Source organism: Homo sapiens, chromosome 12 (assembly GCF_000001405.40).
Source record: "Homo sapiens chromosome 12, GRCh38.p14 Primary Assembly".
Lineage (NCBI taxonomy): Eukaryota > Metazoa > Chordata > Mammalia > Primates > Hominidae > Homo > Homo sapiens.
This window is the reverse complement of record NC_000012.12, coordinates 4,666,787-4,679,558: the sequence shown is the minus strand read 5'-3', so window position 1 is coordinate 4,679,558 and position 12,772 is coordinate 4,666,787. Positions and strand designations below refer to the sequence as shown.

General features: G+C 38.4%; 1 protein-coding gene across 1 annotated transcript in view; it reads right to left on the bottom strand.

Annotated features, from left to right (window-relative positions):
- Positions 1-12,772, bottom strand: part of NDUFA9 (NADH:ubiquinone oxidoreductase subunit A9) — a 45,204-nt gene that overhangs the window by 14,759 nt on the left and 17,673 nt on the right. The window contains exons 7-8 of the mRNA NM_005002.5: positions 11,035-11,102; positions 9,742-9,818 (exon numbers count right to left, since the gene is read on the bottom strand). Of these exons, the coding sequence (NP_004993.1) occupies positions 9,742-9,818; positions 11,035-11,102 (145 nt within the window). The remainder of the gene's footprint in view (positions 1-9,741; positions 9,819-11,034; positions 11,103-12,772) is intronic.

Below are 12,772 nucleotides of genomic sequence, written 5' to 3'. Positions count from 1 at the left end.
AACTTCCTCCTTCTGGTTTTCTTTCCAATTAACTGGACTTTCCTTTTCGGTCATTTATTTTAATTATTTTGCTTAATTATTACTTATGCATCTCATCACTAATCTATAAGCTCCACAAAGGCAGAAATCTTACCCATGCTATTCACTATTGTGGTATAATTTACATACATTAAAATTCATCCATTTTAAGCATATAATTCAATGATTTTTCATACATTTACCAAGTTGTACAATCATTACCATAATCCAGTTTTAGAATATTTTTCCTTACTCTAGTAAGATCCTCCACAGCCATTTAATCCTGGATTTTACTCCCAGGCTCAGGCAATCACTAATCTACTTACATTTGCCTTTTATAGATACTTCATATAAACGGAATCACACAACATGTGATCTTCTGTATCTAGCTTCTTTCATTTACCATGTTTTTGAGGTTCACACATGTAACATGTCAATATTTCATTCCTTTTATTGTTGAACTTCTATTATATGAGAATGCTACTATATTTTATTTCTCCTTTCATCAGTTAATGAATATGTGGGATGTTTCCAATTTTTAGCATTTATGATAACGCTGCTATGAAAATTCAAGTGCAAATCTTTGTGTAGACACATTTTCATTTCTTTTGGGTAAATATCTAGGAGTAAAATTGATAGGCCATATGGTAAATTTATGCTAACTTTTTAAGAAGATGCCAAACTGTTTTCTAAAGTGGCTATACAATTTTACACCCCTACCAGCAATGTATGAAGGTTCTCATTACTCCATGTCTTCCTCAACATTTGTTATTTTCTCTCTGTGAACTGGTATCTCATAATGGTTTTGATTTGCATTTTCTGTAATGACTAATGATATGGAGCATCTTTTCATATGTTTTTTAGTGATTAAGTACATCTGCTGGGCTGATATGCCTATTCATGTCTTTTGCTCATATTAAAAAATGGATCATCTTCTCATTGAGTTCTAAGATTTCTTTGTATATTCTAGATAGTAGTCCTCTATCAGATATGTAATTAACAAATATTTTCCCCCAATCTGTGACTTGTTTTTTCATTTTCTTAATGGTGTCTTTTGAAACACAAGAGCTTTAATTTTGGTGAAGTCTAATGTATCCATTTATTTTTTATTTTATGAAATAGGCTTTTGATGCCATAGGTAAAAATCTTCTAGAATCCAAGGTCTAGAAGATTTTCTATTTTCCTTCCAAAATTATTATAGTTTTATAACTCTTTTATTTATTTTTTTACATTTTTACCAATTGAAATTTTTTTTTTAATTATACTTTAACTTCTGGGGTACATGTGCAGAACGTACAGGTTTGTTACATAGGTATACATGTGCCATGGTGGTTTGCTGCACCCATCAACCTGCCATCTACATTAGGTATTTCTCCTAATGCTATCCCTCCTCTAGCCTCCCACCTCCAGCAGGCCCCAGTGTGTGATGTTCACCTCCCTGTTTCCATGTGTTCAACTCCCACTTATAAGTGAGAACATATGGTGTTTGGTTTTCTGTTCTTGTGTTAGTTTGCTGAGAATGATGGTTTCCAGCTTCATCCATGTCCCTGCAAAGGACATGAACTCATCCTTTTCTGTATACTGGCTGCATAGTATTCCATGGTGTATATGTGGCACATTTTCTTAATCCAGTCTATCATTGATGGGCATCTGGGTTGGTTCCAAGTCTTTGCTATTGTGAACAGTGCCGTAATAAACATACGTGTGCATGTGGCTTTATACTAGAATAATTTATAATCCTTTGGGTATATATACTCAGTAATGGGATTACTGGGTCAAATGGTATTTCTACTTCGAGATCCTTGAGGAATTGCCACACTGTCTTCCACAATGGTTTACACTTCCACCAACAGTGGAAAAGCGTCACTATTTCTCCACATCCTCTCCAGCATCTGTTGTTTCCTGACATTTTAATGATTGCCATCCTAACTGGCATGAGATGGTATCTCACTGTGGTTTTGATTTGCACTTCTCTAATGACCAGTGACGATGAGCTTTTTTCATATGTTTGTTGAGCTGCATAAATGTCTTCTTTTGAGAAGTGTCTGCTCATATCTTTCGCTCACTTTTTGATGAAGTTTTTTTCTTGTAAATCTGTTTAAGTTCTTTGTAGATTCTGGATATTAGCCCTTTTTCAGAAGGATAGATTGCAAAAATTTTCTCCCATTCTGTAGGTTGCCTGTTCACTCTGATGATAGTTTCTTTTGCTGTGCAGAAGCTCTTTAGATTAATTAGATCCCATTTGTCTATTTTGGCTTTTGTTGCCATTGCTTTTGGTGTTTTAATTACGAAGTCTTTGCCCATGCCTATGTCCTGAATGGTATTGCCTAGCTTTTCTTCTAAGGTTTTTATGGTTTTAGGTCTTACGTTTAAGTCTTTAATCCATCTTGAGTTAATTTTTGTATCAGGTGTAAGGAAAGGATCCAGTTTCAGCTTTCTGCATATGGCTAGCCAGTTTTCCCAACACCATTTATTAAACGGAGAATCATTTCCTCATTGCTTGTTTTTGTCAGATTTGTCAAAGATCAGATGGTTGTAAATGTGTGGCATTATTTCTGAGCCCTCTGTTCTGTCCCATTGGTCTATATACCTGTTTTGGTACCAGTACCGTGCTGTTTTGGTTACTGTAGCCTTGTAGTATAGTTTGAAGTCAGGTAGCATGATGCCTCCAGCTTTGTTCTTTTTGCTTAGGATTGTCTTGGCTATGTGGGCTCTTTTTTGGTTCCATATGAAATTTAAAGTAGTATTTTTCCAATTCTGTGAAGAAAGTCAATGGAAGTTTGATGGGGATAGCACTGAATCTACAAATTACTTTGGGCAATATGGCCATTTTCATTGTATTGATTCTTTCTATCCATGATCATGGAATGTTTTTCCATTTGTTTGTTTGTGTCCTCTCTTATTTACTTGAGCAGTGGTTGGTAGTTCTCCTTGAATAGGTCCTTCACATCCCTTGTTAAGTTGGATTCCTAGATATTTTATTCTCTTTGTAGCAATTGTGAATGAAAGTTCACTCATGATTTGGTTCACTCATGGTTTGTCTGTTATTGGTGTATGGGAATGCTTGTGATTTTTGCACATTGATTTTGTATCCTGATACTTTGCTGAAGTTGCTTACCAGCTAAGGAGATTTGGGGCTGAGACAATGGAGTTTTCTAAATATACAATCATGTCATCTGCAAACAGAGACAATTTGACTTCCTCTTTTCCTAATTGAATACCCTTTATTTCTTTCTCTTGCCTAATTGTCCCAGCCAGAACTTCCAACACTACGTTGAACACGAGTGGTGACAGAGGGCATCCTTGTCTTGTGCCGATTTTCAAAGGGAATGCTTCCAGTTTTCGCCCAATCAGTATGATATTGGCTGTGGGTTTGTCATAAATAGCTCTTATTATTTTGAGATATATTCCATCAACACCTAGTTTATTGAGGGTTCTTAGCATGAAGGGCTGTTGAATTTTGTCGAAGGCCTTCTGCATCTATTGAAATATTCATGTAGTTTTTGTCATTGGTTCTGTTTATGTGATGGATTACATTTATTGATTTGCATATGTTGAACCAGCCTTTTATCCCCGGATGAAGCCAACTTTATCGTGCTGGATAAGTTTTTTGATGTGCTGCTGGATTTTATTGAGGATTTTCGATTCAATGTTCATCAGGGACATTGGCCTGAAATTTTCTTTTTTTGCTGTCTCTGCCAGGTTTTGGTATTAGGATGATGCTGGCCTCATAAAATGAATTAGGGAGGATTCCCTCTTTTTCTATTGATTGGAATAGTTTCAGAAGGAATGGTACCAGCTCCTCTTTGTACCTCTGGAATAATTCAGCTGTGAATCCATCTGGTCCTGGACTTTTTTTGGTTGATAAGCTATTAATTGCTGCCTCAATTTCAGAACTTGTTATAGGTCTATTAAGGGATTCAATTTCTTCCTGGTTTAGTCTTGGGAGGGGGTATGTGTCCAGGAACCTATCCATTTCTTCTAGATTTTCTAGTTTACTGGTATAGAGGTGTTTATAGTATTCTCTGATGGTACTTAGTATTTCTGTGGGATCAGTGGTGATATCCCCTTTATCATTTTTTATTGCATCTATTTGATTCTTCTCTCTTTTCTTCTTTATTAGTCTGGCTAGCAGTCTATCTATGTTGTTGAAAAAAACCAGCTCCTGGATTCATTGATTTTTTGAAGGGTTTTTCCTGTCTCTATCTCCTTCGGTTCTGCTCTGATCTTAGCTATTTCTTGCCTTCTGCTAGCTTTTAAATTTGTTTGTTCCTGCTTCTCTAGTTCTTTTAAATGTGATGTTAGAGTGTCAATTTTAGATCATTCCTGCTTTCTCTTGTGGGCATTTAGTGCTATAAATTTCCCTCTACACACTGTTTTAAATGTGCTCCAGAGATTCTGGAATGTTGTGTCTTTGTTCTCATCGGTTTCAAAGAACATCTTTATTTCTGCCTTCATTTCATTATTTAGCCCGTAGTCATTCAGGAGCAGGTTGTTCAGTTTCCATGTAGTTGTGCAGTTTTGAGTGAGTTTCTTAATCCTGAGTTCTAATTTGATTGTCCTGTGGTCTGAGAGACTGTTATGATTTCTGTTCTTTCGCATTTGCTGAGAACTGTTTTACTTTCAATTATGTGGTCAATTTTAGAAGAAGTGCAATGTGGTGCTGAGAAGAAATTATATTCTGTTGATTTGGGGTGGAGAGTTCTGTAGACGTCTATTAGGTCCACTTGGTCCAGAGCTGAGTTCAAGTCCTGGATATCCTTGTTAATTTTCTGTCTCGTTGATCTTTCTAATATTGACAGTGGGGTGTTAAAGTCTCCCACTATTATTGTGTGGGAGTCTAAGTCTCTTTGTAGGTCTCCAAGAACTTGCTTTTTGAATCTGGGTGCTCCTGTATTGGGAGCATATATATTCAGGATAGTTAGCTCTTCTTGTTGCATTGATCCCTTTACCATTATGTAATGCCCTTGTCTCTTTTGATCTTTGTTGGTTTAAAGTCTGTTTTATCAGAGTAGGATTGCAACTCCTGCCTTTTTTTGCTTTCCATTTGCTTGGTAAATATTCCTCCATCCCTTTATTTTGAGCCTATGTGTGTCTTTGCATGTGAAATGGGTCTCCTGAATACAGCAAACTGATGAGTCTTGACCCTTTCTCCAATTTGCCAGTCTGTGTCTTTTAATTGGAGCATTTAGCCAATGCAAGGAAGCCATTTAAGGTTAATATTGTTATGTGTGAATTTGATCCTGCCATTATGATGCTAGCTGGTTATTTTGCCCGTTAGTTGATGCAGTTTCTTCATAGCGTCAATGGTCTTAAGAATTTGGTATGTTTTTGCAGTGGCTGGTATCAGTTGATCCTTTCCATGTTTAGTGCTTCCTTCAGGAGCTCTTGTAAGGCAGGCCTGGTGGTGATGCAATCTCTCAGCATTTGCTTGTCTGTAAAGGATTTTATTTCTCCTTCACTTATGAAGCTTAGTTTGGCCAGATGTGAAATTCTAGGTTGAAAATTCTTTTCTTTAAGAATGTTGAATGTTGGCCCCCATTCTCTTCTGGCTTGTAGGGTTTCTGCTGAGAGATCCACTGTTAGTCTGATGGGCTTCCCTTTGTGGGTAACCTGACCTTTTTCTCTGGCTGCCCTTAATATTTTTTCCTTCATTTCAGCCTTGGTGAATGTGACAATTATGTGTCTTGTGGTTGCTCTTCTCGAGGAGTATCTTTGTGGTGTTCTCTGTATTTCCTGAATTTGAATGTTGGCCTGCCTTGCTAGTTGGGGAAGTTCTCCTGGAGTTTTCCAACTTGGCTCCTGGTTCCATTCTCCCCATCACTTTCAGTTACACCAACCAAATGTAGATTTGGTCTTTTCACACAGGCCCATATTTCTTGGAAGTTTTGTTCATTTCTTTTCACTCTTTTGTCTCTTATCTTGTCTTTTCACTTTATTTCGTTGAGTTAATCTTCAATCTCTGATATGCTTTCTTCCACCTGATCGATTCGGCTATTGATACTTGTGTATGCTTCACAAAGTTCTCGTGCTGTGTTTTTCAGCTCCATCAGGTCATTTATGTTGTTCTCTAAACTGGTTATTCTAGTTAGCAATTCATCTAACCTTTTCTCAAGGTTCTTAGCTTCCTTGCATTGGGTTAGAACATGCCTACTTCTGTCAAATCGTCAAACTCATTCTCCATCCAGTTTTGTTTCCTTGCTGGCAAGGAGTTGTAATCCTTTGGAGGAAAAGAGGCTTTCTGGTTTTTGGAATTTTCAGCCTTTCTGCCCTAGTTTCTCCCCATCTTCATGGATTTATCTACCTTTGGTCTTTGAAGTCAGTGACCTTCGGCTGGGGTCTCTGAGTGGACGTCCTTTTTGTTGATGTTGATACTATTCTTTTCTGTTTGTTAGTTTTCCTTCTAACAGGCCCCTCTGCTGCAGGTCTGCTGGAGGTCCACACCAGACCCTGTTTGCCTGGGTATCACTAGCAGAGGCTGCAGAACAGCAAAGATTGTTGCCTGTTCCTTCCTCTGGAAGCTTCGTCCCAGAGGGGCACCTGCCAGATGCCAACCAGATCTCCCTTGTATGAGGTGTCTGTTGGCCCCTACAGGGATGTATCTCCCAGTCAGGATACACGGGGGCAGGGATCCACTTGAGGAGGCAGTCTGTCCCTTATCAGAGCTCAAATGCTGTGCTGGGAGATCTGCTGCTTTCTTCAGAGCTGCCAGGCAGGGATGTTAAAAGTCTGCTGAAGCTGCACCCCCAACTGCCCCTTCCCCCAGATGCTCTGTCCCAGGATGGTGGGGGTTTTATCTATAAGTCCCTGACTTGGGCTACTGCCTTTTTTTCAGAGATGCCTGGCCCAGAGAGGAGGGAATCTGGAGAGGCAGTCTGGCCACAGTGTCTTCCTGAGCTGCAGTGGGCTCTGCCCAGTTTGAACTTCCTGGTGGCTTTGTTTACTGTGAGGGGAAAACCACCTACTCAAATCTCAGCAATGGTGGACGCCCCTCCCTCCCAAGCTCATACGTCCCAGGTTGAACTCAGACTGCTGAGCTAGGAGCGAGAATTTCAAGCCAGTAGATCTTAGCTTGCTGGGCTCTGTGGGGGTGGGACCCGCTGAGCCAGATCACTTGGCTCCCTGGCTTCAGCCCACTTTCCAGGGGAGTGAAAGGTTCTGTCTCACTGGCGTTCCAGGTGCCACTGGGATATGGAAAAAAAACTCCTGCGGCTAGCCCAGTGTCTGCCCAAACGGCTGCCCAGTTTGGTGCTGGAAAACCAGGGCCCTGGTGGCATGGGCACCTTAGTGAATCTCCTGGTCTGCGGATTGCAAAGACCATGGGAAAAGCGCAGTATCTGGGCCAGAGTGCATGGTACAGTCCCTAATGGCTTCCCTTGGCTAGGAGAGGGAGTTCCCCGACCCCTTATGCTTCCCGGGTGAAGCGACACCCCACCCTGTTTTGGCTCACCCTCCTTGGGCTGCACCCACCGTCCAACCAGTCCCAATGAGATGAACCAGGCACCTCAGTTGGAAATGCAGAAATCACTCGCCTTCTGTGTCAATCTTGCTGGCAGCTGCAGACTGCAGCTGTTCCTATTCAGCCATCTTGCCACCAATCCTTGTTTTATAACTCTTACACTGAAGTCTCTGAATTATTTTAATTTTTTCATGTACAGAGCAAGGTAGGAGTCGAAGTTCATCTTTTTTTTAATGTGGATATCCCAAAACCATTTGTTGAAAAGACTATCCTTTCCCCTTTGAAATGCCATAGCACCTTTTTCAAAAATCAATTGTCCATAAAGATTTATTTCTGAACTATCAATTCTGGTTAATTCATCTATACGTCAATTCTTATGTCAGTACCATACTATCTTGATAATTATAGCTATTAGGTTTTGAAATTATGAAACTTAATGGTTTTGTCTATTGTGGGTCTTTGCATTACCATATAAATTTAGAATCAATTTATCAACTTCTGCAAAAAAGTCTGTTGGAATTTCGATAGAATTAAGTTGAATTTGTCAATCAATTTGAAGGAAATTATCATTTTAATCATACTGACTCATTCAATCCATGAACATGGTATGTCATTACTTATTAGGTATAATATAATAAATTTAATTGTTAAATTTATACTTAAATATTCTATTATTTTTTATGCTGCTGTGAATAAAATTCTTTTCTTAATTTTATTTTCACATTGTTCATTTACTAGTATATATTGATTTTTCTATGCTGATCTTATACATCGTGATTTTGCTGAATGTGTTTATTCATCATCACAGTTGTGTGTAATGTTGTATGAGTGTGTATCAATAGGTATTTTATGAATGAATGGCAAATAGAATGGACCAACATAATATAATTCATAATTACAAAAAACCTAGGAGGAAAATTATAGTCTTATGCCACTGCCTTAGCCTCAAAATATCAGAGAAAGAAGCAAAGTTTTTTCCTGGGGCTGAAGAGATGAGAAATGTGTAGATACCTATCTACAATTTCAAGAGGAAAAATATCTACACTGCAATGTCTAGTATTATTTTTCCCATCGTTACGCCAAACAAGAATGACTTACTGGAGCCCAGACAAAAGGATAATGGCTGGGCAAAGGTAAAAAGGAAAATGTGCAACTCATCCAGAGCTAGAGCAAGTAAAGTTCACAAAGCCATTTCCGCTCATTTATTCCCTGAAATCCTAGTCCATGTACCTCTTCACTGGAACTAATGTCTTTTGTGTAGTATTTTATGAAACCTGTATTGAATATATTGAATTGTAATTCTTATCTAGACTATATAACTGATTGCATGCTAATGTACCAAACTGGGAACTGAAAAGGAGAAATATATTTTGCAGCTGCTAGTTGACATGGAAAACCAAGACTTTCACACTGAAAAAAATTATGTATTAAATAATAATAGTGGAACATAACAATGTATAGATTCAGAATTCTGGGAGTATATTCTATGCCTCTTGGCTTAAAGAGAACAGTGTCATTTTCCTCTAGAGGCAAACATTTCTTATGAATTAGGCTATCCCTTAATTACTGAGCCAGATCCTTAACTTTCATAGATGTCAAGTGTCACTAGTTTGCTTCACAGAATCACAGGGTTATGAACCACTTACCAGGTGAATTTGATACCTCTCAACTTGGCAAATGAAGTCTTAGTTTTTGACTTTTAGTTAATTCAGCAAAAAAATTCCTAAGCTTAGCTGTCACATGATTTAGTAATTTCAGGTAAGCCACATAGCTTAACTGTACCCCTTTTTTCTGAAAGCAAATTTTAGCAAAGAGCATAAAAGAAATAATCAATCTCGCACAGCACTAGTAATTGTGCTATAAACCACCCGTTTTTCAGCCTCTGGAGGCATTGTGATACTCCATCAAAATTAATGTGGTTTTATAACCATACTTACTCCCTAAAAGTGTTTTGTTTGTGTTTTAGAATTTACAGCAATATCCTTTTATATATTAAAAACATCACTGGAGTAGTACAAAACCATCCCTAAGGGTCACTGGACTAAGTATATGTAATAGTCTAGGGCAGTGGTTCTCAGACCTTGGTAACAGAAGAATCATTCATTAAAGTAGATTCCAGGTTCCCTCAAATTCTGATTTAATGCAAGCAATGAGGAGATTTTGATATTGTAAAAGTGCAACAAATAAATCTGTTAGTAACTAATTTAGATATTGATTCCTTCATTATAATAGCACAATTTAAAATTCAAACTCTAAGCACTTACCCAACGAAAGCAAAGGATTTCCCATTGGCATCAGGATCCTTAACTGCATTAACAATTCCTTTGGATACATCTACGACCTGTAAGAAATTATAATATATGTCTAAGTAATTGTTGAAAAAGAGACAGAATGGGAGATGGAGAGATAGAAAGAAAGGAAAGAAGAGAAAAAGGAAGGAAGGAAGGAAGGAGAAAGGAGGAAGGCCACACTGATCTCAACAAAGAAAATGTGAAGTTAAAATAATGGCATTATCTATTCCCAGAAAGCTTCTTAAAAGAATGAGCCTTCTCAAGAGCTCAAATAATCACCGCTATCCAAGTATTTTCCAAGTACGCATAATCCAAGGCTCATCCAAGTATTTTCTGTAGTAGGAATGCACTTACCTTCAGATAGCTTGAGGCCCCTCTGATTTGCTTTTGCCCACAACTTGCCAAGCTCATCTCTTACCATTCCCAACTCTCTTATTAACCATCACAAGCTATTAGGCTTAACCACATGGAATTGCTAATATTCTACCATTTTGATTTTCAAAAACAGTAATAGTAATAGTGATTTTGGCCCCCAGGGGACATTTGACAACTGTCTAGAGTCATTTTCAGTTGTCACAACTGAAGGGTGGTGTGACTGGCGTCTAGTGGCTAGAAGCCAGGAATGCTGCCCAACACCCTTTAACAACCCCCATAACGAAGAATTATCTGGCTCAAAATGTCAATAGTGCCACTACTGAGAAAACTTGGTTCAATCTAACATGGAATCCAACATGCTCTTTCACCTCTGGGCCCCTGTATATACTGTTCCCTCTGCATGCAATACTCTTCCCCAACTCCTTTCATCAGGCTTACCTTTAGTCATCTTTAAGGTTTTACCCTAAATGCCCTTCCTTTTGAAATGCCCAAGTCTAGATTAGGTGCCCTTCTGATGTAATTACATAAAACCCTCTCCTTATCATAGCACTCATCACGTTGTACAATAACTGCTTTATTTATCTGCCTCAGACTGAAAGCAATTTGAGAACAGCAATTTGTGTCTATCTAGTTAATATCTTTATTTCCCTAGTGACATGTGACATGTATGATGTGTCTAGCACATTATGAGTTCAATAACTTTTTCTTAAATGAACAAGTGAAGACACAGAGAAGGCATGTACCTCTTAAGTAAACTAAGAGGCAGCTAGCTGACACAAGTTGACAAAGAAAATGACAGAGTTACTAAATTAGGACAAAACCAGAAACTTGATCACTCAAATCTGAATTCATCAAAAATCCCTTTCTGACCCCCTTCATCCAAGTACTTACATATACTGGTTGTTTAACTGTCTTCCAGCCCAAGGAACCAAGGGGTATAGGACCAAACCGATGCATACCTAGCGGAAGAAAGAATGAGAACTATACTGAGAAGGCTTAAATTGCTGTAAGATCCAACAGTCTTAAGATTAACATAATTATTGTGCATAATAGAAATAATATAATGAATGTAGCTGACTCTGAGGAAGTGAATGCACTTACAAAAGGCAGTCATTAGTTTTTCAGATAATAAACTCGGAAAATAAAAAGGCCAAATGTTTAAAACCATGAAGAGCAAAGAAAAGAGGTCAAATGTCTAGACAACTAGTCTGCTCTGCAATGCTAAATGCATCGCTACGACCAAGACTGGACTCTAGCTGCACCCATTCTAAGGAGAAACATGGAACTCTTCCTCCTTATGATACTCATCTGTTGATATGGCAGATGAGCTGTCTATCTAGTTAATATCTAGATGAGTTCTGCTGCTGTATCAACAGATGAGTGATACAGCACAGATAACCCAGAAAAAGGGCCTGATGGAAATATTAGTTGATATATGGTGCTGGCACAATTATTCTGCTATTTGAAAAAAAGGTGAGATAATGTCTTAGTTCTCACCATAAACTAAAACAAATCCCAAGTAGTTTAAATGTTAGGTTAAAAAAGTTTTTTTTGTTTTGTTTGTTTGTTTTTCTTTTTTTTTTAAACCATTTAAGAGTAGAAATTAGGCCGGGCACAGTGGCTCATGCCTGTAATCCCAGCACTTTGGGAGGCCAAGATGGGCGGATCACAAGGTCAGGAGTTTGAGACCAGCCTGGCCAATGTGGTGAAACCCCATCTCTACTAAAAATACAAAAATTAGCTGGGCGTGGTGGCACACACCTGTAGTCCCAGCTACTTGGGAGGCTGAGGCCAGAGAATCGCTTGAACCTGGGAGGCAGAGGTTGCAGTGAGCCGAGATCACGCCACCGCACTCCAGCCTGGGTGTCAGAGTGCGACTCTGTCTCAAAAAAAAAAAAAAAAAGAGTAGAAATTATTCACAATAGTACAATAAAGAATAAAATACTTAAAAATAAACTTTATCAAAGTGGCAAAAGACACATATGCTGAAAACCACAAAACATTGCTGAAAGAAATTAAAGGCACAATTAAATGGAAAGGCATCCCAAGTTCATGGAATGGAAGACTTAATATTGTTAGGATGTTGCTATGGTTTAAATATGTTCCCTCCAAAGTTCAGATGTTGCCAATGTGATAGGAACTAAGAGATAATTAGGCCATGAGGGTGCTCCCTCATGAATAGGATTAAGGCCCTCATAAAGGAGGCTTCATGAAGCATTCAGCTAGCTTGCTCTTCTCCTCTTCTGCCATGTGGGGACATAGCATTTGTCCCTTTCACCCTTCCACCTTCCACCATGTGAGCACACAGCAAGAAGGCCCTCACCAGATGACAGCACCTGGATCTTGAGATTCCCAGCCTCCAGAACTGTTGGAAATAAATTTCTCTTCTTTATAAATTACTCAACGTTTGTTGTACCCCAAAATGGACTAAGACATATGTCAATTCTACCCAAAGCAATCTCAGATTTAATGCAATCCCTATCAAAATCCCAATGGCTTTTTATTTTTGCAAAAATATAGAAAACTCCATCCTAAAATTCATATGACATTTAAAGGGATTCCTTTAAATAGCCAAAACAATCTTGAAAAAGAACAAATTTTTGGAAGTCTCACACACTTTCTGATTTCA